This window comes from Homo sapiens, chromosome 13 (genome assembly GCF_000001405.40).
Source record: "Homo sapiens chromosome 13, GRCh38.p14 Primary Assembly".
NCBI classification, from domain to species: domain Eukaryota; kingdom Metazoa; phylum Chordata; class Mammalia; order Primates; family Hominidae; genus Homo; species Homo sapiens.
The window spans coordinates 77456484-77483130 of record NC_000013.11 but is presented as its reverse complement, the minus strand read 5'-3'; the positions used below and the strand labels follow the sequence as shown (position 1 = coordinate 77483130).

Genomic DNA, 26647 nt, shown 5'->3' with positions numbered 1-26647 from the left:
TGCAAACTATGTATCTGACAAAGGTCTAATATCCAGAATTTATAAGGAACTTAAACAAATAAACAAGCAAAAAACAAATGACCCCATTAAAAAGTGGGCAAAGGACATGAACAGACACTTTTCAAAAGAAGATATACATGTGGCCAACAAGCATATGAAAAAATGCTCAACATCACTCATCGTTAGAGAAATGCAAATAAAAACCACAGTGAGATACCATCTCACACCAGTCAGAATGGCTATTATTAAAAATTTGAAAAATAGCAGATGCTGGTGAAGTTGTGGAGAAAAGGGCACAGATATACACTGCTGGTGGAAATGTAAATTATTTCAGCCATTGTGGAAAGCAGTTAGGTGATTTCTCAAAGAACTTGAAACAGAACTATCATTTGATCCAGCAATCCCATTACTGGGTATATACCCAAAGGAATATAAATCATTCTACCATGAAGACACATGCAGAGGTGTTCATTGCAGCACTATTCACAATAGCAAACACATGGAATCAACCTAAATGCCCATCAACAATAGAATAAAGAAAATATGGTACATATACACCATGGAATACTACACAGCTATAAAAAAGAATGAAATCATGTCATTTGCAGCAACATGGATGGAGCTAGAGGCCATTATCCATGGCTCACGCCTGTAATCCCAGCACTTTGGGAGGCCGAAATGGGTGGATCACGAGGTCGGGAGATCAAGACCATCCTGGCCAACATGGTGAAACCCCATCTCTACTAAGAAAAATACAAAAAAATTAGCCAGGTGTGGTGGCCGGCGCCTGTAGTCCCAGCTACTCGGGAGGCTGAGGCAGGAGAATGGCATGAACCCGGGAGGCAGAGTTTGCAGTGAGTCAAGATTGCACCACTGCACTCCAGCCTGGGCAACAGAGCGAGACTCCATCTCAAAAATAAATAAATAAATAAATAAAAGAAAAGAAAACTAACAGAGAAACAGAAAACCAAATACCACATGTTCTTACTTATAAGTGGGAGCTAAACATTCAACACACATGAGCACAAAAAAAAGAACTATAGACACTGGGGCCTACTTGAGGGTGGAATGTAGTAGAAGGGTAAGGATTAGAAAACCACCTATCAGGTACTATGTTTATTACCTGGATGAGGAAATAATCTGTACACCAAACCCCTGTGACACGCAATTTGCCTATAGAACAAACATGCACACATACCCCTGAACCTAAAATGAAAGTTAAAAAATTAATGTAATTTAAAAATAGAAGATGAATTGAAATATTTTATGAAGATAAAGGACTAGAATAGGATTTGCAAAACTTTGGGAGACATAAAATAACAATTGCAATAATAACAGCTAACATTTAATATGTCAGGAATTATGCTCAGCACTTATATGCATTTTCCTTTCTTACACCAACCATGTGTCGTAATTACAGTTTTCACAGATGAAGAAACTGGGGCATGCAGTGGTTAAGAAATGAAGTCACAGGACAGGTGAGTGATGAAGCTGGGATTTGAATCCCAGGGACACCCATGATTCTCTGACTCAAGAGCCTGTGAACTAGGTAATACTACATTCTCCTCCAAAATTGTGCCAGCTCCAGTGTCACAAGCAACCCAGTACCTATGGTCACCCATTGTCTCACCGTTCCTCAGAGTGGATATCCATCTGTCCTTTCTACTCACATGACTCTACCATTTTCATGACATGACTTCCCTATCTCCCAGCTGCTCTTTTAATCTATTTCATCTTTGCTTCTCTCTGCTATTGCGTCTCTGTTCCTCCTGCTTTCTACTCCTCTCTCTCTGTGTCTCACATTCATGCTCTCCAACAGAGCGCCTCATTGTGTTAGAGTAACCATCTGTAGCCACCATTCATTGGTTTGGGCTATCCAGCACCCAACTCCTGTTGACATTCCAATTTCCTTTTGGAGGAATCTCCAACTACGTAGATGTAGAAATGGAATCCACATTCCACACAGTAGCCAATGGGCCAACGCTCTCTCTTCCTGCCCAGCCCAGCTATGGAACACACATGTCACTTGGCCTCTTCCTATCAGACAAGTGTAGAGACAGCTCTGGGCCACCCCATTGAAGAAGAAGCAGCAGAGGCCGTAAGCTGAACCTGTTGCTCCTCAGATGTAACGTTTGCTGTGCTCCCATGCACAGCCCCAAAGCACTTCGGTTTCTGTCTCTTTTCAAAGCAAGGTCCTCCAAGCTCCTGTAGATATGTGAGACACAGATATCCTTCTAGGGAATCCCGCGTTGAGGTTAAATTTGCCAGAATTATTTTCTATTGCTTGCAAACAGGAACCCAAACAGAACTCAGGCATTAATGTAGTTTTGGCTGTCATATCTGAGCTGCTTCGGCTGCCACCCGTATCCATAATCCAATCCAATGAGGCCAGGGTAGCAGGACCACATGACCAAAATCATCACAGCTTCTGTTCAAGGGGCCATTTGTGGCCTCTGTATTCTGGAGGGAACTGGGGGCTGTTATTTGGACTCTCAGAACTTAAATCAATACCCTGGGAGAAACTGAGTCATGTTTATATGTCGAGGGGATTAAGCCAGGGACCAATGGGAGATGAAAGATACATGAGAGAGAAGAGACAAGGATGCAGCAAGGGCTCTGAGGAAATGGGAGCGAGGTGGAGAGACTGGTCTCAGAAAATAAGAGAAAAAAATAAAAGAGGAGTCTTTTTGCTCTACCCCACCCACTCCTGAGAAAGGAGGTAAGGGCAAGATTGCAAAGTTAAGTATGCTTACTGAATAGAAGGAACTTGAAGGAGTTATTGTAAATAGATCCTGCTTCCTCCGTGAGGTAAGAGACAAGGGCATCTGCTGACAGTGAATGTAGGGAGTCAGGAGTGGGGGAGGGGGAGGACTTGCAGAGATGGATGAAAACTTGGAAAAGCCACAGTTAGAAACGGGAGGGAACCTACTGGGAACTGGCAATCAAGCTGCACTGAAGCAACTGTCTTTTATTTGCATTTGCTAATAGCAATTAGCCACTTTTTGAACAAAGACCCAGACAAAGGGAGACACAAACCTTCCCTGAAATTGTTCAGTGAAAAAATCAGGGACTTGCAAACTCTAGCAAATTTCACAGAAGAACCTTTAACCTAACTTTTCAATTTTGCAATTGTACAGCTCTGGAACATTTCAGAGGGATTTCCTTCGCTGTCCAGAAGGAAAATATTATTGAACTAAAAAAAGTTTGAGACAATAGAAATTTGTTAAGAAATCTGGATTTTGTCTGATTCAGTTCTTTTTGACATTAAGAGGTTGATCTACTTTGTATAGAAGAGTGTTAAAGAAAACGTAGACAAAAGGCATTTAGGACCCTTATAGAAGTATTAAGTAGTGATACATGAAAACATTTATTTACAGTGGGCTTTGTTTTCATTGATTAAAAAAAAAAGGAACCACCAAAACTGTTCTTGCTAGAATTCAAAAAGACAATGAAAAGCTCATCTCCATAGTCTCTGAGGAATAAAATAGCTTGGGTGTGGTTATGTTTGGTGATTTAGCATGCTGAGTTAATTATTTTTCTTTTCTTTTCTTGAGACAGGGTCTCTCTCTGTTGCCCAGGCTGGAGTGCAGTGGCACCATCACAGCTCACTGTAACCTTGAACTCCTGGGCTCAAATGATCCACCCATCTCAGCCTCCCGAGTAGCTGGGACTACAGGCACATGCACCACCAAGTTTGACTTTTTCTGGGGAGGGGGGATGAGTGTCTTACTAGGTTTCCCAGGCTAGTCTGGAACTCCAGGGCTCAAGCGATTTTCCTGCCTTGGCTTCCCAAAGCACTGGGATTACAGGTGTGAGCCACTGCGCCTGGCCATTAAATTAATTCTTAAAAAAATGTCCTCCCTCTGGTTTTGGCAAGCAACTGAACTGAACTGAGACATAAATCTGTAGTCTTCGTTTTAGATTGCAGTTGAATTCATGAAGTAAAAATGTGCTTCTGACATGGTATTTTAAAAAAATGAACAACTGCTCTGTCTCAGCTGGCATGTCCTAAAAGAAGACAGCATCTGGATAAAATTCAACATAGAATTTTAGCTTTTGTGGCATTTTGAATAAAAACAGTTGGCCAAACAACTACCTATTTAAATTATTGAAAGCTGATGATTACAAATAATACTTCTGGCTGATAATTAGAGTGGAAGTAGAAATCATTCAGAATGCTATGAGGTTGGACAGGATTCCAGAATTAGTTTTCCCTTAAATAGAGTGTTGCAGACAAAAGCAGTTTGGTCTTCAAAGAGCGAGTATTCTTAAACCATTGCATTCACCAATGGGGGCTATGAAGATGTGGGTTAATTTACTTAACACTTCAGAGGTTTGGAGTTTTCAGACAGCCGCAAAGATGAGGCCAAATCGAGATTAAAATTGCTCATTCTTCTCTTGTTCTTTTCAAACACAATAACATCACGTTCTTAGAAGATGACTTGCCATACAGAGCTTTTTATTTGAGACCCAACACGGTAAAGAAACAAGGATACAATCCTCTTTGTAAAACAAAATGTAATTGAAAACAGCCACTAGAGGGCAGTGAAAATACTGGGGATGTTGCAATGCAAGTCCTTTGATCAGAACCTTAAAATGAAAGCTGTTTTGCAGGATTTTGAAAGCATTTGATTGTTTAGCAAATGAGAGACCTGAGGGGTGGGGGTGGGGGTAGAAGCAAGAGAAGAAAGTATCTTCTTGATCATATTAATGTAACATTAATGAAAGACAGCACTACCACGTCTGGCCCGAGCCTTCAGGACGACAGTTGTAGGACAGTGATTCAGCACAGATGATGTAATGAGGTCAGTCCCCCAATTCACTCTGTAATTTAACCCTGCCTACAATAGATCAAGGAGGCTGGGCAACCGTAACACAACAAAACACAAATCATTGGCATTCGACCTTACAGAACATTCAAAAGCAACAGTATTGGTAGGTTGTTTGCTGAGTGTGTGTGTGTGTGTGTGTGTGTGTGTGTGTGTGTCTGTTTAATGCAAGCAATGTCTTTTTAAAAGATTGTGAAGTCAGAATTATTACTTTAAAAAAAAATTCCCACAGCTCCATTTAACCCACGCTATTTGTGGGAGGTGAGAAAGAAATGACTCACATGATCGCTAAAATGCTTGTGAAAATGCAGATAAAATGGTGACAGACATTGAAACATTCAGCTCTGATTCTTTAAAAATCCTTGCAAAAAGAGAATTGGGCTGGAGGTAGGGAGGGTACAATCAAGAATTAATTCTAAGCACTCTGCAGAATCTTAGACCTTAAAGCTAGAAAGCATTTTAAGGTCCTCTGCATCATACAATATTTTCCATATTTCCAGCCTATAATTTTGCTTTTAGCCATTTCAAAGTAGAAAAATCTCTATACTGTGCTAGTACATCAAGAAGCAGTTCTCAAATCAGCTACCACTGAATTGACTATGGAAATGTGGCTGTAGATACAATTTGCAATTGTCAAAAGCAACCAAAGAATCTTTAGGGACTCTAGGCATAGGTGTAGTGAATAAGCACAGAAGTCATAGCCAACCCACTTTTATTTTCTAAAGCAGAGAACTCTGGCAACCAGTGTTGTGAGTTCCGTGGATGGCATGCTGGCTCCTTGAAGGAAAAGGCTCTTAGACACACTCAAGCTTGAACACACTCAAGCTTGAACGATGATGAGAAATAACCATATCCTTATTCTTCAGAGTAAAATGATTCATCCTAACTTGTTGACAGTAAAGAGAAAAAGTGTGATTCTTAGGTCCATGACAGTTTCTCCAATCATCTATCTAAAACATAGCTGCGATTGATTTATTGAACATATTTACTCATATATTTTTGTCAATAAGTACATATTTTTCATATAGGCACACAGAAAAGCAAATCATATGATCTACTGTAAGAATCCGATGAGGATTTTTGTGACCACATTTTATTCTAACCTCTTTTCTAATAATCTGTGTGACCCTGGATTTGCCTTTTTCCCCCACTTCCATACAAGATTTGCATGGAAGCAGTAGAATCAGACAAGCCTAAAATATTTGGCCACTTGGATTCACTGGGGTCATTCTACTTACTGTAAGAGACAAGAGAACCCGAATTAGCAATTCTAATATTCCTGAAGAAGTCTTCATAAGCTATAATGGTTCTGAGTACCAAAGAGGTTTTGTATACCTGGTCCAGTTACTGCAGGGAAAGAACCTAGACTATACTATCTTACTTCCAGGACACATTGTAAAATAAATCAGTCATATGCAAGGGTAAAAGTTCTGATTCTAAAGTGCCTGCAAGTCTGGGATGCTTTGGGGCCCTGTCAAAATGTGCAGTGGAATAGATTCTAGGAATTTCTCTCTGAAGCTTCCTTACTCTTCCCAGAAGAGAGATGTGTACCCTCATGGTTTCTAACTACCTTACAGATGGCCCTGACCATTTCATATTATAATTATTGTACATTCCTAAAGAGTGTGGTCATGTTACATAGGTAGCTAGTCAGGCATGAGCAGAGCAGGAGAGGGCTCCCCACCTACCAACCAGTAATGTCAGGTGATCATTAGGTGATGGTCAGGTGGTTGTTAACTGTCTCTCTAAAATAATAATTGGTTGCAGCCAGTGCCAGGGAAAGGCAGTCTTCCAATATAAAGAAAAAACCTGGAACTGGTGATCAGTAGCTTCTCAGTAAGATCTCAGGGGCTGGGTAAGTGGGCTCAAGCATGTGCATTAAGAAGCAAAATGGTGGAGTTTAACTGGTATATGACCCTCTAGGGTTCTAGGGGCAATCAACTGCTAAGGGAAGAATGCCTCAAGTAAGCATGCATATAACTCCAGTAAACACACCGTGCATGCTCACCTCCCAAGCGCTAGCAGGCCACTGCGCATGCCAACAGCCTTCCCTAAGGGAAGAATCATGTGAGAAGGGACACAAGACGCTGGAAGTGTGCCAACATATAAAAACCTAAGTCAAAAGTCAACCACACGCTTGATCTCTCATGTTGCCCACTTGGCTCTCTTCCAAGTGTCCTTTACTTTCTTTTGTTTCTCCTCTAAAGCTTTTTAATAAACTTTCACTCCTGCTCTAAAACTTACCTCAGGCCGGGCGCGGTGGCTCATGCCTGTAATCCCAGTGAGAGGTAACAGCATGCTGGCAGCCCTCACAGCCCTTGCTCGCTCTTGGCGCCTCCTCAGCCTTGGCGCCCACTCTGGCCGCGCTTGAGGAGCCCTTCAACCCGCTGCTGCACTGTGGGAGCCACTTTCTGGGCTGGCCAAGGCCGGAGGCGGCTCCCTCAGCTTGCCGGGAGGTGTGGAGGGAAAGGTGGGGGCGGGAACCGGGGCTGCACGCGGTGCTTGTGGGCCAGCGCGAGTTCCGGGTGGGCGTGGGCTCGGGAGGCCCTGCACTCGGAGCTGCCCGCCGGCCAGCGGGCCGGGGCAGTGAGAGGCTTAGCACCTGGGCCAGTAGCTGCTGTGCTGAATTTCTCGCCGGGCCTTAGATGCCTTCCCGCCGGGCAGGGCTGGAGACCTGCAGCCCGCCGCCATGCCTGAGCCTCCCCCGCACTTCGTGGGCTCCTGCGCGGCCCGAGCCTCCCCGAGGAGCGCCGCCCCCTGTTCCACAGCGCCCAGTCCCATCCACCACCCAAGGGCTGAGGAGTGCCGGCGCACGGCCTGGGACTGATAGGCAGCTCCACATGCGGCCCCTGTGCGGGATCCACTGGGTGAAGCCAGCCGGGCTCCTGAGTCTGGTGGGGACTTGGAGAACCTTTATGTCTAGATAAGGGATTGTAAATACACCAATCAGTACCCTGTGTCTAGCTCAGGGTTTGTGAAGGCACCAGTCCACACTCTGTATCTAGCTACCCTGGTGGGGACTTGGAGAACCTTTATGTCCAGCTAAGGGATTGTAAATACACCAATTGGCACTCTGTATCTAGCTCAAGGTTTGTAAACACACCAATCAGCACCCTGTGTCTAGCTCAGGGTTTGTGAATGCACCAATCGACACTCTGTATCTAGCTACTCTGGTGGGGACTTTGAGAACCTTTGTGTGGGCACTCTGTATCTAGCTAATTTAGTGGGGACGTGGAGAACTTTTGCGTCTAGCTCAGGGATTGTAAACGCACCAATCAGCATCCTGTCAAAACGGACCAATCAGCTCTCTGTAAAATGGACCAATCAGCTCTCTGTAAAATGGACCAATCAGCAGGATGTGGGTGGGGCCAGATAAGAGAATAAAAGCAGGCTGCTTGTGCCACTAGTGGCAACCCGCTGGGGTGCACTTCCATGCTGTGGAAACTGTGTTCTTTTGGTCTTTGCAATAAATTTTGCTGCTGCTCACTCTTTGAGTCCACACTGCCTCTACGAGCTGCAACACTCACGGCGAAGGTCTGCAGCTTCACTCCTGAAGCCAGGGAGACCACGAACCCACCAGGAGGAATGAGCAACTCCAGACGCGCTGCCTTAAGAGTTGTAACACTCACTGTGAAGGTTTGCAGCTTCATTCCTGAGCCAGTGAGACCAGGAACCCACCAAAAGGAAGAAACTCTGAACACATCTGAACATCAGAAGGAACAAACTCTGGATACGCCACCTTTAAGAACTGTAACACTCACCCCAAGGGTCCACGGCTTCATTCTTGAAGTCAGTGAGACCAAGAACCCACCAATTCCGGACACACCAGCACTTTGGGAGGCTGAGGCGGGTGGATCATGAGGTCAGGAGTTCGAGACCATCCTGGCTAACATGGTGAAACGCCAACTTTACTAAAAATACAAAAAATTAACTGGGCGTGGTGGCACACGCCTGTAGTCCCAGCTATGCAGGAGACTGAGGCAAGGGAATCGCTTGAACCCGGGAAGTGGAAGTTGCAGTGAGCCGAGATCGCGCTGCTGCACTCCAGCCCCGGCGATAGAGGGAGACTCCGTCTCAAAAAAAAAAAAAAAAAAAAAACTTAGTTGCTCCTTTTGCCTTATGCCTCTCAGTGGAATTCTTTCTTCTAAGGAGGCAAGAATTGAAGTTGTTACCGACTCATGGATTCACTGCAGGTCATAGGCATGCCTCACACATTTTTCAATTGACCAGGACTATCTTGCTCAACAGTAACTGAATAAAAGTGGACTGAATGAATGAGATTGCAATGCGGAAGGTAAGCAACAGATGGGGGTCACCCAACACTCTTACCTGAGCACCTTGATTATAATACACTCCAATCCATGATCCAGAGGCAAAACCCAGGGCTTCCACTCATTCATAGTGTCTGTGCTGACACAACCTACCCCTGCCTGATGTGCCAGCTGTTCAGCCTCTTTGCCAATGACAGTCAGCCTTGAGGTTCTTGAACACCACTGGACAATGTTAACTGATATTCCTCAACAAGGCATCTCTCACATTGAAGATGCTATATACAAAAGGAAGGAAGTGGGGGAAGGAAGGACGGACGGACAGACGGACTAGGTGGAAAAACATTAAGCTTAGTTTCTTGAATATAGGCAGACTGCTAATGCAGGCCATTTGTCGTTCCATTCTGAGCCCTTTCTGTCTCTCCATCTTCACCCTCAATAATGCCATTTGAATTGTCCATGCAGCTCCCATGATGATAATTTTGTAAAGTTGGTTGTTTTAGGAAGAAGTTGATTTCTTTGATCTCTTGTCTGGTTTGTAGCTATGTTCCTACTTATTCTTTCCAGGCTCTGCCGTTCTTCGGAAACTCCTCCATGTTACAGTGTTTGTGAAACTGCTTGCACTTTGATTATTTTTAATGTGCATTTCACCAGAAACCCATAGTACTCCTGTACTGGGAGTGAATCCTGCCTGCAGTGAGTGCTGATGAATGGAGGGATGAGCTAATATAACTAAAAGAAAAGGAAAACAATTAAACTCAATGCCAAAACGAACAATGAAATGCAATTCTGCTTGTTTATTTCTTCACAGTTGGGGCAAAAAAAAACCCTCAAAATTTAATGCAATCAATTACTACAAAATAACACCAAAATGGTTACAAAAATAAGTATGATGGTGCTGTCTTTAGTGTGTTTTTTCCTTTGTTCTTTTCTTCTTTCCTTCTTTTCCTTCTTCCTTTATTGCTTCCTCCTTTCTCCTTCATTTCTGCATTTGTTTTTTCGTGATTATACATGTAAGCGTATAAAATAAAGCAGCTTTTCTTCTTTTGAAAGATGAAAAGAGAAATAGGAAGGGGTCAAACATCCTGCAAAAATGGCAAAAATGTAACTGAACTGTCTTCAATATATGCTGTAATACCATAAATTCCTTTGTCATGGAAAACATTTAACATATTGGCAGACATAATTCTGGTATATCAACCATGTATATTTTAAGCTTTAATATACTTTTATATATTCAACTTCATTTCCATAACTCAATATATCAAAATGTAATGGTTTCCCAACTGTAAGAATCGCTGAGGACTTTCTATATACTCTTTAAGGCTACCATGTTTTTTCTTAACATTTTAGCAATCATTTGATTACTAAAAACAGATATTCATCCACGACATCTGTGCCAGCAACCAGTTAGTGGTTCACCAAACCACTTTGCCTTTCTTCCAAGTATACTGGTGGGCAATATATCATAGTTGTCTTTCCAGTTGGATGTGGCCTGTGACTGGGTATTGGTCAATGGAACCTAAATAGAAGTGATGGGTCCAACCTCCAGGCCTGGTCTATGACGTCCTCCTGCCCACAATTCTTTCTCTCTTATTTCCCTTTGCACCCAATGAATGGAGAAGTCTAAGGATCTAGAGGCTGAATTGCTGCCTGGAGGAAAGCTGTCCACTGGTCAGCCAACTAGGCTAGGCCTGCAAAACACGTGACAAATTAAGTTTTATTTTGGAGTTTTAATTCCAATTTTAAACTTTGAAATTTTGAAATTCTATGTGATAGTAGTTGGTCTGTCCCAGCTAATACACCAGTCTGAGAAAACCAATGTTATTCTGAAGCTCTTCATGATTCAAGCTGGAAGGGAAAAACCAAGTGGCTGAGAATTTGTGTGAATGTAGAAACCTGCTGGTTTCTCCTCATCACTCGTCCACGAAATGCCAGACTAAAGAGAGATAGCTGTGGCGGAGATACTGTGAATATTCAATTTGAAACACATTCAGTGAGCACAAACTCTGTGCCAGAAACCAACATGGAGAGTGTTCCTCTAGTCAGTCACTACTGAGGGTGATCAACTGCTCTTAACAAACGAGTAGAGACCCAGAAAAAAATACAACTTAATAAGACAACTAACTAAAGGGCTGAGTAGGAAGAAACAACCCAGGTATAAAGGAATGGGGGAGAAAGAGGCAGGGACATGAGAAGAAGGAGAAGGAGGTATAGAATGCAGGTAGGTAGCAAGGCTTGGAGAGATTCTTTAAGGCAATCTGGAGGTTTTGCAAGGGACCTTCAGGTCCTGCCCAGGAACAAAGAGGAAATAGTAGAAAGCACCAATCTTGGATCCAGCAGCATTTAATCATTAATTATCTAATCATTTAAGTATTTCATTCCCTCAGCCTCAGATCTCTCTTAAAAGAGCTAGGTTATTCCTGGTTTTGCATAGACAGTTTGCATTATAGTCTCCTAAACTGGAAACAAGCTAAAAGACTGGTCAGGGAAGTAGTTTCCCATTCTTTCCCAGGCGATGCTCCATAGTTATGCCACAAGTTACTACCTGAGTGTCTGATCAAAGTCTTAAGGGGTTTGTCACCGTTATAACTAAGCAATAGCAACCTCTGAGTCCCTTTTTTTTTTTTTTTTTTTGTCATAGTTAAGCACAGACCATCATGCAGTACCTTGGATTTCTATACAGTACTCTTGGTATGATATGAAAAAAAAATTCTGCCCTAAATTTTGTTATTCTCTGGATTTGGCTGCCACTGAGCCAGGTTGAGCAATCTATTTCTCTGAAGGAAACACCCATTATTCTGGGAAAATTTAGGCACATTCCTTCCTAGAAGAGAAAGGAAAGACTAAGTGGCCTTTGGCAGAATTTGGAGACCTAATTGTCTAAGAAAATGACATTTCACAATGGTGAAATGCCGTGGCAGTGAAAATTTTGATTTAACATCGCTCACGGTCTCCAAAAGATTCACAGTCTCCTTCCACATATATCACCCAACCCTGAGACCTCAGTTTGCTAATAGTCTCACTTACAGAGCTAGGGAAATTGCTTTGTCCGAAGCATCCTAGAGACTACCGCAGGCCTAGAACTGATGCTTTTATCAAGGGATAAATAGACAGACTAGAATCCTACTTTTCTCTTTTTTGAGTCACAGGGCCTTGAGCAGGTAAGGGGACTGTGACCTCTGGATCTCTATCTATAACGTTGCAGTAGGGTAGCTAGACAAGTCTCTTTTCTCCTTCACCCTTTTGACTAATTTCATCCTATCCAGTAGGTGAAGACAGATTGTTTGTATCCTCATCCTCAACTGAGGGGGTCTTTTAGCATAATATTGAGATCTTTCCTGATCAAAGGTGTTTGGGAATTCAGGAGCATTCTGACTTTTAGAATAATATGGTGGAAAATCACATGGGATGTCATACAGGGCCTGGGTAGCACCTATAATCAAACACTAATATTAACATTTTCAGTTAAATCTACAAATAGTCCCACATCAGGTTGGGTCCAATACTATCGCCAATGAAGTTAAAAAAACAAAGTCTTTGAGTTTTCAGAGGAGTTTGGATTTGGGAATTGCCCGCAAAGAATTGAGGAGCTCTTTACCCCTCTGCCCCCTGCTCCATAGTGGCCAGCTTTCTTCAGAGGTGGCTACAGAAGAGCTCACTTTCACCATGTGAAAAAGCACCTGACATTCACTCAGGCTGACCCAAAGGGAAGTCAAACCACTCACAAGGAAACAACTGACCCTTGATGGACTCCAGTCACATGACCGTTCCACCATGAAATTCATTCTCACCGAAATAACCACCTCCTGCGAACTCTCCATTTTGCAACAGATTTGGGAATAAAATAAAATTAAGGAATCTTGCCCAAAGCCAAGGTCACTACTGCCCAAGGTATATTTAACAATAAAAGTTCAGCCTTTCCAATCCCTGCCCCTGCCCCAACTCATGACTTACAGGACTTCTCTGCTTATTACTTTCCTGAAACTTCCATATGAGTGTGTGCTTATGTTGTATATGCCTTCTTCTTTAACCTCAACACAATGTTAAAAATACTTATTAAAAATTACTTACTTACTATTCTTTGTAAGAATTATTTTAATCATTTTATGTATGAAAAATTAAGCATTTATGAAAATTTATCTCAAAACTCACGTAATAACAGATTAATCATAAAAAGGGGATCAAGGCTGGGCGCAGTAGCTCACGCCTGTAATCCCAGCACTTTGGGAGGCTGAGGCAGGCGGATCACAAGGTTAGGAGGCAGGCAGATCACATGGTTAGGAGATCAAAACCATCCTGGCTAACACGGTGAAACCCTGTCTCTACTAAAAATACAAAAAGTTAGCCGAGCATGGTGGTGCATGCCTGTAGTCCCAGCTACTCAGGAGACTGAGGCAGAAGAATCCCTTGAACCCGGGAAGCGGAGGTTGCAGTGAGCCGAGATCGCGCTGCTGTACTCCAGCCTGGGTGACAGAGTGAGACTCTATCTCAAAAAAAAAAAAAAAAAGGTGAGGAGATCAAAAAGGGAAAAAAATTAAGGTGCTCTATAGTCTATCAGCGTATGTGTAGGTGCGTCAAGCCGTGTCTTTTACCATCATCTTTTACCATCTTTTCTTTCTTTTCTCTCCTATCTTTTACTATCATCTTGGGAAGAAAAAAAACTGTTTTAAAATAAATCTCATGCAAATTTTTGAATGAGAATCTGAATTTTAAAACACTTGACAGACGATTGTGACTTTTCTTTTAAAAAGTAGAAAAATTATTCTCACTTCAGTAGTATTGGCTTGAAATTTTGACACATAAAGGTATTCATGATTATTTTTATAACAGAAAATGGAAAAATAAAAAAACTTTTGAGACACTATCAATCTATTTTATGCACCATAAAAAGCAAAAAAAAGAGTAAGGTTTCATTAAATATTTATAAATGGACAAGAAGTATATTATAAATCAAAGGGATTCGCTTTAGCAAATAAGAAAATATTTTATAAGTATCTTAAAGTTAATGCCCAAATGTATATTTTAAAATATATTTAGTAATAAAAAGCCATGCTAATATTGCACCTTTAATGTAAACCATCATGTAGACAATCTTCCAAATGGCAGTTTTCAAAGATTGGAACATAATTTTTCTTCATCTACCTTCTATATTTGTAATTGTAAAACAAATCCAAGATGTAATTAGCTGTAACTCTATTTTATCTGAATTCAAAGACACAAGATGTTTCTCAAAGCCAGTGGCCTACCAAGAGCGAGATCTTAATAGAAGCAAAAACGAGTTGGTAACATTTTATTCCACATTAAAATACCAGAAACACAGAACTCTGGGGAACTGAAATTATTTCCCTCTTAAATTAGGAAAAGGAATAAATATGAAGATGTAGTTGAAGTCATTTTAAACTCTTTCTGTTCTTTTTAAATTTAGTATTATACTTGTGGTGAAATATGTGTAACATATATAATTTGCCATTTTAACCATTTGTAAGTGTGTGGTTTTGTGGCTTTTAGTACATTCATCACCACTATCCACCATCCCAAAACTTTGGGAAGAACTTTTTCATCTTTCCAAACTGCAACTCTGTAGCCTTTAAACAATAACTCCCCATTCCCCACTCCCCAAACCCATGGCCACCTCCATTCTACTTTCTATCTCTATGAATTTCACTATTCTAGGTACCTCAAATCAATGAAATTATATAGTATTTGTCCTTTTGTGTCTGGTTTCACATTGCATGCCTTCAAGTTTCATTCATGTTGTAGCATTTCAACATGTGTCAGAATTTCCTTCCTTTTAAGGCTGAAAAATATTTCATCTTATGGATATAACACATTTTGTTTATTCATTGATCTGGCTGTGGACACTTGGGTTGCTTCCGCTTTTTGGCTGTTATGAATCATGCTGCTTAAACTTTCTTTAATAAAACCTTTTCTTATATAACATTGGCCAGAAAAAATTCTCAGCATTATTATAACTGACACCGTTTGCCTTGAAATCTATTCAGCCTGGGATGAAACTCCACATTGCTAAGTAATACAACAAGTACCTTCTCAGAAGTTAAATGTTGTTTCATTAGTTGAAAAGTATACTTTTCTCAATCACCTTCCCTCCCAATCACTAAACTTAATTTTAGAATTTGTGTAACATAGAAATTGTAATGCGCCATCCCCTGTTATTACAAAGTCTGTGCCTCTGAAAGGTAGCAACCATTAGTGGAACTCACCAAGTTAGGAATAAGAACAGAGAACAAATCTTTGTCTCCTAATTTTCCAAGGAATTAAGTTGACATCAACTCTGTGGATCCATGTAAGCTTCAGAATCATGACAGTTCAAATCCCAGTGGATTCTAGGACGAATCTAGGTCTCTGTGAGCCCCACATAAGGAGGCTTATTATTAAGAGTTCATCTTAATATGACCCCTTGTAATGAAGTTTTGAAGGACAGACTCCCAAAAATTGTATCATAGAAGATGTTATGTAGAAGACATCTTAGAGCTCATCTTGGGCAATTTCTCATTTTATATCAGACCAGGAAGCCGTACTTTTCCATCGTAGCAAATGGCCACCCTCCTTAAATCATTTTTAAGAATAGGGAGGGAGATTAATCAATTAATAACATCCCATATCTTACTAAAAGGAAGACCCTAGCATAATGTAATGGTTTTCATGGCAGTTCACTAGCAAGTTATTTCATATTTTCAAGCTGCAGTGATTGGGTGCCATAAATCCAAACATTTCATCTCGGGAACTGCTATTAAAGTGGATGTGTTTATCAAAGGCCAGATCTTCTTGATAGCTTGCCTGATTGAATGCCTCCTGGAAGTGAACAATTCATGTGAGAGAATCATCACATTGTTCAGTAATACGATTATCATTTTGCAAGTCTAGGGCTGTTTCATTTCATGAAAATTAGGCTGCCCTTCTCACACTCGCCTTTCCTCCCAATCACCATCTTAAATATTGCCACTCAATGTCATTTCCTCATGAAGGCACAGAGAATAACTTTTGGATTTCATACTGTAAAGAAATTGTCATAAAACGCCCTACTGTTGCTACTAAATTTGTGCCACTCAAAGGTGACAACCCTGTCATCTGTTTCAAAATACTGTGCTCAGTCTCTCAAACAATGTCACAGAAAAAGTAAGCCAAAGGAAAAGAAGAAAAGATAATTCATTCATCTTGTTTGTCTGGTAAAGGATTCAATCATTGCAAGGAATGCTGAACAAACAGGTTTTTCTTGGGGGAGGGGAGATTCTTCACAATTCCAAATTTACAAAATCAATAAATTAGAAAAAGTGTTATTTATCTGTCAAAGGAATAATTTTTTTTAACATATGGGTTCTCTGAGCCTCTATTCTGCCTTTGGAATATTGCATGATTGCATTTCATTGACAGAACATAAATTATACCCAATACACCAAAATCAAAGTGCTTCCAGCCCTGTGATACTTGGGAGAGTGTATAAAAGTGTGAAACTAGGCTGGGTACGGTGGCTCATGCCTATGATCCCAGCACTTTGGGAGCTCAAGGCAGAAGGATTGCTGGAGGCCAGGAGTTCAAGACCAGCCTGGGAAACATAGAGAGACACCCCGCCCCCACCATCTCCACACACAAAAAATAATTAAAATTAGTTGGACCTAGTAGGATGTGGCTATAGTCCTAGCTACTCAAGAGGCTAAGGCAGGAGGATCGTTTGAGCCCAGGAGTTCAAGTTCGAGGCTTCAGTGAGCCATGATTACATCACTGCATTCCAGCCTGGGTGACGGAGAAAGACACTGTCTCTATTTTAAAAATAAAATAAAATAAAAATAAAAAAGCATGTGAAAATAAACACCAGTGGTGTGTGTGTGTATATATATATATGTTATATATACATATGTATAATATATTCATGTGAGATACACACACACACACACACACACACCCCTCTAATAAGTTGGGCAGAAAGTTTTCCTTTGCTGCTTTTCAAGTGTTCTAGCCTGAGGCCACATCATTCATACAGAGTGCTCCCTGCATGGAATCATCTGTAGCCTCTCCCATAGAAATGATTATAGCACTGATTTGTGAAAGATCAACTCTTGCTTTACTCATGAACCCTCTTTTCAATGTTGTCACAGTTATTCAGCAATACATAGTTCAAACAAACAAAAGAAGATAAAAATAAGCCAGCTAAGCCTGGAAATTCAATTTCCCATTTATGAATTAGATGAAGAAGGCTTTTTCCTCAGACTTTTTCTAGGGCAGCCAGCTGGCTTGTGTTTCATAAGCCAGTTCCAGCATGCACTCTTGTGTTTGCATCTGAGTAGTTTGTGATTTAACAGTATTTCTTGAATATTCACCCTAAAGAGAAAGAAAGAGAAACCACCATTATATCTCTGGATGAACACACATCCTAATTAGTTTCCTGAGCACTTATTAAGCAGCAGAAACTTTACATACATTTATGTACATCAGTAAAATAAATATGCACAGTGAATATTATTATCCTTGTTTTATCAAAAGAATTTAAGGAAAAATTAAATATCTTGTAAAACTCAAGCTCCAATATAACAACTGTTGATGTAGAAACACATTACAAGGGCCAGGCATGGTGGCTCACACCTGTAATCCCTGCACTTTGGGAGGCCGAGGTGGGCAGATCACCTGAGGTCAGGAGTTTGAGACCAGCCTGGCCAACAAGGTGAAACCCCATCTCTATTAAAAATACAAAAATTAGCTGGGTGTGGGGCGAATGCCTGTAATCCCAGTCACTTGCAAGGCTGAAACAGGACAATCACTTGAACCTGGGAGGCAGAAGTTGCAATGAGCCAGGATCGCACAACTGCACCCCAGCCTGGGCAACAAGAGTGAAACTCTGTCTCAGAAAAAAAAAAAATGACAAACAGATCCACAAGTTCACTTGAGTAAGTAAGTGCTGAAAGGATGGAAAGGGAGAGTTGGGTAAAGGAAGGTATTCATAAAACCAAAAGTTGCTGAAGCAGATAAGTTGCCCAGGTTCTTTTTAAAGAGCAAAAACATAACATTTCTATAAAATTCTTAAACTAATGCTTTGTTACACTTCAAACATAGGTCTAAATTATCATCCATTTGTGCTTTCTACCATGCCAATTTTTATTTAATGATAGACCATATTATACACTAAGTTTTTGATACCATACACATCAAAGCTCCAAGTGAATTAAGAACCTATGACTATATAATCACTATTGAGGAAATTTTGATGTCAAAAAGTGGCTCTATGTTAACAAGGAATTAATGTGTTATGACCAGAGTTTATAGGGCTCAGCCACTGCAAAACATAAAGCTCACTTTGCATAGTATAGGTACTAACACTCCCAGGTTCTTGCCATTCACCAAATTGATAGACTGGCCACAACAGATCACTGACCAAATTTTCAGTCACTATAGTTCTGCCATACTGAGAGTGGATCCAGGCAATGCAAGTAGGAAATTGAACAATAACCTGGTAAATAGGACAACTAATTTGGAAAATTTAAGACAAAACTACTTGTTCACAAGCAGGAATTTTGTGAGGCCTCAACTGCTTTCTTCATGTCAATTATATGCACCCAGCTTTAGTGTCCTTCGATGCGTTCAATTTTTTGAAGGCATGTGCAATGTTAAATGCAGGTCCTTGCCTTGAAAATAAGTTTCTGATATGAGAAAAATAAGCTTAATAAACAATTGAAGCTATTTTTAAAGGTAAAAATTGTTTCTTGCTTGAAAGGACAGCAACTCCCCAAAATGTGTTTAAGGGTAAAACTTTTGGAATCTTTGACTCAGCTTGTGCAAGCACTAGTCTATTACCCAAATTTCAAAAGACTTAGTTAATCTTTCTTCATAAGGAATAGTATTTGATATTACTGGGTTCATGTCATTCAGACATTTATGTCCTAAGCAAATCAAAGACCTAGTTATGCAGATTCATCATTACCTGCTTCTGTGTGTCACCACCAGGTTTCAGCAGGACTCAGCCAAAGGACAGTATTCCATTGTCTCTCTAGTTCATCTCTATAGTTTTCATTTCTAAAATAAAAAGGTTGATCTAAGTTTTGTTTTAGATTCTTTTCAGCACTTACTGTTGGCTAATTTGCAGCATGAGTTTGACTACAAAGACTTTAAAGCCAGAATAATAAATCCTAAGCAAAACAGATCTAAGGCAAGTTATTTTGGTGTTATATAGGTACGATTTTTGTAGAAACAGGGTCTCACTATGCTGTGGTGAGTGATAATTGCACTACTGCACTCCAGCCTGAGTGACAAAGCAAGACTTTGTACAATTTTAAAGGCTGGGTAGCCGTCACTTATTAGATTGGAATTTCTGTCATTGAATTTTATTGCCTGCCGGAAACCACCAACCTTGCTTCCAAGTGGAATAAAATGCGGTTTAGGTGAAGGTGGTAATGAATGCAAATCTCATGACCTAAGGTAATAGTTCTTAAATATCTCCATTCCTGCTTTGTCTCCAGTAATTGTAACACATTGAATATGGCCCCAACTTAACTTTGGCCACATCCACATGGAGAGCTTTTTTTTCTTTTGAGACAAAGTCTTGCTTTGTCACTCAGGCTGGAGTGCAATAGTGCAATTATCGTTGACCACAGCATAGTGAGACCCTGTTTCTACAAAAAAAAAAAAAAAAAAAAAAAAAATTTAATTAACCAAGCATGGTGGTGCACACTTGTAGTCCTGGCTACTCAAAAGGCTGAGGCAAGAGGATCACTTGAGCCCAGGAGGTCAAGGCTGGCAGTGAGCTGTGGCTGCACCACTGCACTGCAGCCTGGGCGACAGAGCAAGACCCTATCTCTAAAAACAAAACAAAAGAGCAAGAACTATTCTGTTCTTTCTTTCCCCACAAACCTATGTCCTCACACTCACTAGGCATGTTCACTCAATGGTCTTATATGAACAAAAGTCCCAACACTGAAAACATATTTTAATTGCTTTTACTTCTTTTCTAATCTCTGAAATAGCCATTTAAATGTTCTGTACATTATTTCCTATTCACCAATGCCACTAAATCTCTAAATATGACCTCATGAAGAAATACGTAAGTAAATTTAAAGATTTTCCACATTACAAATTTCATTTCAACATGTATTATAATTGTGAATTTCCTTTGTTCCAAATATGAACTTAAGCAAGTGACATTCACCTCCAGTTTTCAAAGAAATATCTTTGCTTGAATGTTTAAAGTCTGAATGTCATCTACCAATAAGATTTGAATCCCCATTATTTAATTTTCTCGCATGATGCTTGCTCTCACCGGCTGCTAATTATCTCTTCTGTGTATGCCTTTTTCTCTAAGTAAACTGTGGATTCCTCAAGGGCAGGAGCACATTTTATTCCTATAGACTCACAGTGACTGGCATACTAAATGTTTATTGATGATTTGCTGTATCTTATAAACTATCCTGGTCTAAAATTCACTTCAAAAGAATAGTGGTAATTACATCACCTCAATGATTGCAACCCACACCTTCTATTCCAGATAGAATGTTGTAAAGCTTTCCTCTAGTTTCTCTGGAAAAAGTTAAAAGTACAAAAGATAAGGAAAAAAGTTAGAAAATATTAGTGTACTATATAACATTCATACACCATTACTAAAATCAGCCAGTGTGACACTACTAGTAAAAGTGCCAAAATATAAGGTGACGTTTTGCAAAACCAAGTTCATGTTTAGTTCACTAAAATGTATATGACCTGCCCAAATACACACATAAAGAATTCATTCTGATATACCATGTGATGTACTCTTCCACAAAAGTATTGTGTCAGGTGCCATTCTACTGGAATTAGGGCAGGAAAGATCAGCTCAGTATTTGGGCCAAGATTTGGAGAGTCAGAATCCATTTCAACTGGAAAGAAATAAAGAACTTATTTTTTAAGAGCCCAGGTAGGTCTATGATAAACAGAATAATAGCCCCTACCCCTCGCCCAATACTCGATAACGTCATGATAATCACATTGGAAGGATTGCCACACAATTCATATTTAGAGGATAGTCAATGTAAAAGGAAAGAAGAAGTAGGGGAGGGAAGGAAGGCAGCTGTGGGTGAATCTAATTCAGCAAGTTCACACAAACATTGGTGTTTCTCAAAATTCAAGGCTTGTAAAGATTTTGTAGAAATGGACTATTGTGAGGAGAAATGTTATGAAGACTAGTTATTCAAATTTTTAAAAATAAAGAAAAAAGTTGTTTTCAATTCTACCAGGAATGAGCTGAAAAAAGTCTGCAGACAAATAGCCTCAATCTATAGATCAAAGCATTGCGAATAGCAGACTGAAATTTCTTTGGGGGCATGTATCAAATTTTATTCATTTTTTTCTATACTCATGACCCAGGAGAATACCTAGCATAAAGTAGGCATTTAATAAGTATTCAATGCATAAATAAATATAGGCTCTAGAGAAGTAGGCTCTAAAGTACTACAAAATAAAAAATGAATCATTCATTCTTTCAGCAAATGTATATTGAGTGCTGATTTTGTGCCAGGTGACGGAGTAATAAGAAAAATATTGTTCCTGCGGTCACGAAGCATCAAAAATTCCTCAGCCCTCAAGTACCCTCCAATCATTAAGCATCTTTGAACATCACTATTCCAGAGAGGTGCAGCTTTAATTTCATAAATTACCATTTCATTGTGTCAAGTTTGTACATTCTCAAAACTGAATTATTTGAAGCCAGGATTTTCTTATTTCTCACCCATGCCAATGAAACTATTTTCAATGACATTTTTCAGACTCAATTAAAAATGAATAAATCGGTCGGGCACGGTGGCTCATGCCTGTAATCCCAGCACTTTGGGAGGCCGAGGTAGGCGGATTACCTGAGATCAGGAGTTCGAGACCAGCCTGGCCAATATGGCGAAACCCCGTCTCTACTAAAAGTACAAAAATTAGCTGGGCGTGGTGGCGGGCATCTGTAATCCCAGCTACTCAGGAGGCTGAGGCAGTAGAATTGCTTCAACTCGGGAGGTGGAGGTTGCAGTGAGCCGAGATTGCGCCACTATACTCCAGCCTGGGTGACAAGAGTGAGACTCTGAAAAAAAAAAAAAAAAAAAAAAAAAGAATAAATAAAAGCTCCAGTCCAAAAGCAGTTTATCTTCTAAGGGAATCCCCTGCCTCTAGATCCAGAGCTTCCATCACTCCCAATTAGCTGAGACAATTTGAGAAAATCCAGGTAATACAGTGACAGTGGGTGTCCCAAGTGCAAAGAGAAAATGGGAAGGACTTCAATTTCATGAAAGAAGTGGGATTGAATTTTATTAAACATCATGGCTGGGAATAACTGAGCTAGAGGACATATCCTCTTAGGCTCCCAATAGGCCAGGGATCTTGTGACATTCACAGGGTACAGTGAGCAGTGCTGGATAATGTACATGCTCAATAAATGAATGAATGCCTGATGATCAGAGCCTGAGCCAAATTTTTCTTCCCAGAAACAAACTGTTTCCTGGTTTAATAAATAGCATACCCAGTGTGAGCCCTAGAGACACACAGGGCTCTAATCTTCTTCTGGTTCTAATGATGGAGGAGGCAAGCAGAGATTAGGACTTGGTTAATAGTTTGTTTAGTCATCATTTCTTTAGTTTATCAACTTTGCCCTGGCAGCACTCACTGGCCAGTACACATCGCTGGGGAGTTCTGATCTTCCCCGCCTGTGGCAAATGTAAGCACAGAGCCAAGCAGAGTGTTGCAACCCTGTACCATTTAGAAGGAAGGCAAAAGGGGAACTGTTCCTTTCAGTGCCTAGTGGCTTTGGCTAGACCAAATTTAAGATCCCCCCTTTTTTTTTAATTAGAAAAATTCTTGAGTGTCAGCCTCAGGAAAATATATGTAGTGGACAAAATATTTTTGATCCTCCCAGGATCTCTTTGCTTCCTCCCTTGCCCTGGTCCCTTTCCCAGCTCAGAGGCTGTCCCTGCATCATGCTTCCTGTGTCAAATCTTGCTGCTAAGGGTCTCCTCTCATTGGAAGTACAAGCTCCATTAATCCCCAGCTGACTAGAAAACATTCTGATAGGCAATTGTGCCATAATTGTTAGCAGCCTGAAGTGTTCCTCCTAAGGAATCCCGTCTTTTAACATTGAGTGAATGGAGACCTTTTCTTAGCCTCAAGAAATACAATTGAGCACCTATGATTCTCACCAAAAAGCCTTCTCAACCAGCAGGAGTCTTATTGTAAGTTTGATAATGGCCACCCCTCTGGAAATCCTGTCCACGCTAACATAATATTCCCAGGAGTCAGACAAACAGCATCATAGCATGTAGAGATCAATCATGTACTAGGAGGTTCTCTCTATTGACTTGCAAATGAGCAAGGTGTCAGAGGAAGGATGAAACTGTATCATGCAATGTGCTGATCCGGAGGGGTTTTTTTTCTGCAAATCCAGCTCCATTTTGGAAGACACAACAAACATCCCAAAGGTGTTTTATGCTCCTGTAAAGTTAATATTTCCCTGCTTGCAGAGATGTTCTTCTTTTGCCCTTGGAAAACACTCTAGTAGAATTTCACTGTATTATGAACAGCTCTGCCAAGAGTATATTTTTAGTCTCCTTTAGTGATTTCCATATATCTCTATACCAGTATATCTCTAAACTGCATGTAATCTGTTAAATAACCACCAAATTATTTAACAGATAACATGGAGTTTTTTTAAACAAGTGATGCTAACTAGTTCTTTTTAATGCAAACTGTAAATGCTGTTGCTACACATAATATTATGCTGATCCAAGACATACCAGTTAATAGCAAATTTAATTTGGGAAATAATTTGTGTGATATAAACAGTATCATCTTCCTTATAGTCTTTAGTGTAGCAATGGTTTATGTGACCTGAGGTTGACTGTCCAAGCCCTGTGAAGAAGTTCATTAATGAGATAGGGTTATTTAGGTGGATGGTTTGTCAATATGTCTAAAGTGTCATATACAGCAATCATTTTTATGACTACAAACACTAGAGAGGCTATTTTAAAATCACAACTAGGGAAAGATAAAAACATGGACTGCAATCATTGTAGCTCTTGCCTGTCCTTTTAGGTCTATTCTTTGGTTGGTTGCTACTAGCAACAAGAAAATTCAGCTAAAGAAATTTTAATCAAATAGATTCTGCTCTGTACCTCACTGATCATATATTCTGTTGCATTGAAAAGCAGAGGAATTCACTTGAAATCAATAATCTGAAATACAAATTCTTTTGGAAGGAACTATTAAACGTCTTAAAGCAGCAATCATCAATCATGAAGATTAGGTTGTTGGAGCCATGAAAAATCACCTCCATGGAGCTGATGACCATCTTTCTGCTCTGCAGCATGTGGAACTGTGAGATTTGCTTTTCTGCTCCTTCATAAACAGGGGCAGGAATGAAATGAAATACCCAGTACTCATCTCAGAAATTAATCTGAGCCTTCGCATTGTTAATTGTAGTCCGGGAGGTTTTGATTATTTGAACATAAAGGGAAATAAAAAGAACTTTGAAAAAAATCTTAATAAATAAATCTTAATCCCACAGTAATAACATACTGTAACTGAGGCTGCTCTTAACTGAGCATTTACTATGCCAGGCATTGTGCTAGATGTTTATATATCTTAACTCACTAATTCCTCATGTGTCTGCAGATAGAAGAGCTTTTCTTTTTGTCTTCATGAGGAAACAGAAACCCAAAGAGGTTAAGTAATATGCCTAAAGTCAGACCACCAAAAAAATGGCAAAGGAGAGTGAGACCTGATTTTACACAACTTCAAAGGCCTTGCTATTAATTTTAACAGCAAAACCAGCAATTACGTTTGCACCAACCTATTATTTTTCACTCTGCCACACTGGTTCCCTGAAAACACAGAAAGCTATCAATCATTCACAGTATCTTGTACGATAGGGTCAAGGAGGGCCTCCTATTTTCTAGGCACTTTACATATATTATCTCCTCAAAAGCATACTGTGACCTTGTGAAGGAGGTATTTAGAATATTAACATCCAAACCCATTAAGGGACTTTATGAAGATTATAGAAATACGAGGTGGCAGAACTGGCATTTGAAACCAGATCTGTCTGACTCAAACACATGTCCTTTCTGCTCTCTTATCCCATCTCCCACAAAGTAGAGCCTTTAGATAATGCTGATATTGGTGGATTGAACAAAGATTGTCTTAGATGAGGCTTTTTTGTTGAATGTGGCTAGGTTTCAGAGGATAATATTTGACCTATGTCAGAGGTAAATCCACATACATCACAAATTACTGTATAACAAAGTTCTCCTATATCTTCTAGTTTTTATTGCGGACCACAAATCTCCATTAATTTTTTAAAATTATATTTGGCATATTTTTAAAAAAAAAGATAAAACATAATGGACCAAAAGAATGCTATGGTCAAATGGCGTAGGAATAAAATGCTATTGTTCATTTGTACCCTATCTAAACTTTTACCGATTCTCTTTGAATGTCACTTAAGAGGAAAAAAACTAAACTAAAAATTCAAATTTAAATGGAAACTGACACCAAACAATTCATTGATCAAATTGCCATTTTCTATGGACCAAATTATAACTTTCTTTCTAGCTTTATTAAGGTATAATTTACAAATAAAAATTGTAACTATTTAAGGTAAACAATGTGAAGTTTTGATGTGTGTATATATATATGTATATATAAATTGTGAAATGATTGCCACAATTAAGCTAATTAACATATCCCTCACCTCACATAGTTACCTTTGTGTGTGTGTGATGAGAACATTTAAGATTTACTCTTAGCAAATTTTAATTATATAATACAGTATTACTAGTCACCATGATATTTGTTAGATAATCCACAATTTATTCATTGTGCGTAACTGAAACTTTTTACCCTTTGATCAACATCTCTTTCATTCAACAAATTCATGGCATTTGCAAATTTCAACATTATGTTAAACTGACACAAAAACAAGTAAACCTCTCATCTAGACAATATTCACCCTGAGACCCTGTATTAAGAGCAAATGCAGACCTAAAACCAATACATCTTGAATGGAGTCTACATGGATTAGTATATTGCTGGGAACCAAAGAAGGTAATGGCAGTGAGAAATCAAGTAGAGGTTCTTGTCAACAATGAATGGCAAAGAGAGACTGGAAGCATAGAAAGGTGGCGAGAGGACAGGCATGGTGGCTCACAGCTATAATCCCAACACTTTGGGAGGCTGAGGTGGGAGAATCGCTTGAGGCCAGGAGTTTGAAAACAGCCTGAGCAACATAACAAGACCCATCTCTACAAAAAAAAATTTTTTAATCAGCCAGGCATGGGGGCACACATCTGTAGTCCCAGCTACTTGGGAAGGTGAGACAGGAGGATTGCTTGAGCCTGAGAGTTTGAGGCTGCAGTGAGCTATGATTTTGCCACTCCCTGGGCAATAGAGCAAGACCCTGTCTGAAAAAAATACAAAGAGGAAGGAGGAAAGGAAGCAACGAAGGAAGCAAAGAAGGAAAGAAGGAAGGAAGAAAGGAAGGAAGGAAGGATAGAACTTCCCTATTTTGAACAAATAAGATTATGCAAATATTTTCAATTTTGC

General features: G+C 39.9%; 2 long non-coding RNA genes across 2 annotated transcripts in view, besides 2 other annotated features; both read right to left on the bottom strand.

The window, feature by feature from the left end:
* Window positions 4023-4665: an enhancer, noted in NCBI's record as "NANOG-H3K27ac hESC enhancer chr13:78052601-78053243 (GRCh37/hg19 assembly coordinates)". NCBI's record gives its function as "activates a minimal SCP1, AML or CMV promoter by ChIP-STARR-seq in primed H9 embryonic stem cells {active_cell/tissue: H9 hESC(primed)}" and the evidence as "EXISTENCE:reporter gene assay evidence [ECO:0000049][PMID:30033119]".
* Window positions 4666-5310: an enhancer, noted in NCBI's record as "NANOG-H3K27ac hESC enhancer chr13:78051956-78052600 (GRCh37/hg19 assembly coordinates)". NCBI's record gives its function as "activates a minimal SCP1, AML or CMV promoter by ChIP-STARR-seq in primed H9 embryonic stem cells {active_cell/tissue: H9 hESC(primed)}" and the evidence as "EXISTENCE:reporter gene assay evidence [ECO:0000049][PMID:30033119]".
* On the bottom strand, window positions 17158-19625 carry LOC105370271 (uncharacterized). Its single transcript, XR_001750039.3, has 2 exons — window positions 19032-19625; window positions 17158-17437 (listed from the first exon to the last, which is right to left on the bottom strand). It is a non-coding gene; the product is annotated as an uncharacterized LOC105370271 (long non-coding RNA).
* A 327-nt stretch (window positions 19626-19952) lies between these two features.
* Window positions 19953-26647, bottom strand: part of LOC124903186 (uncharacterized) — a 35583-nt gene continuing 28888 nt past the window's right edge. Inside the window, exons 3-4 of the long non-coding RNA XR_007063828.1 lie at window positions 21928-22139; window positions 19953-20620 (exon numbers count right to left, since the gene is read on the bottom strand). This is a non-coding gene — a long non-coding RNA (uncharacterized LOC124903186). The remainder of the gene's footprint in view (window positions 20621-21927; window positions 22140-26647) is intronic.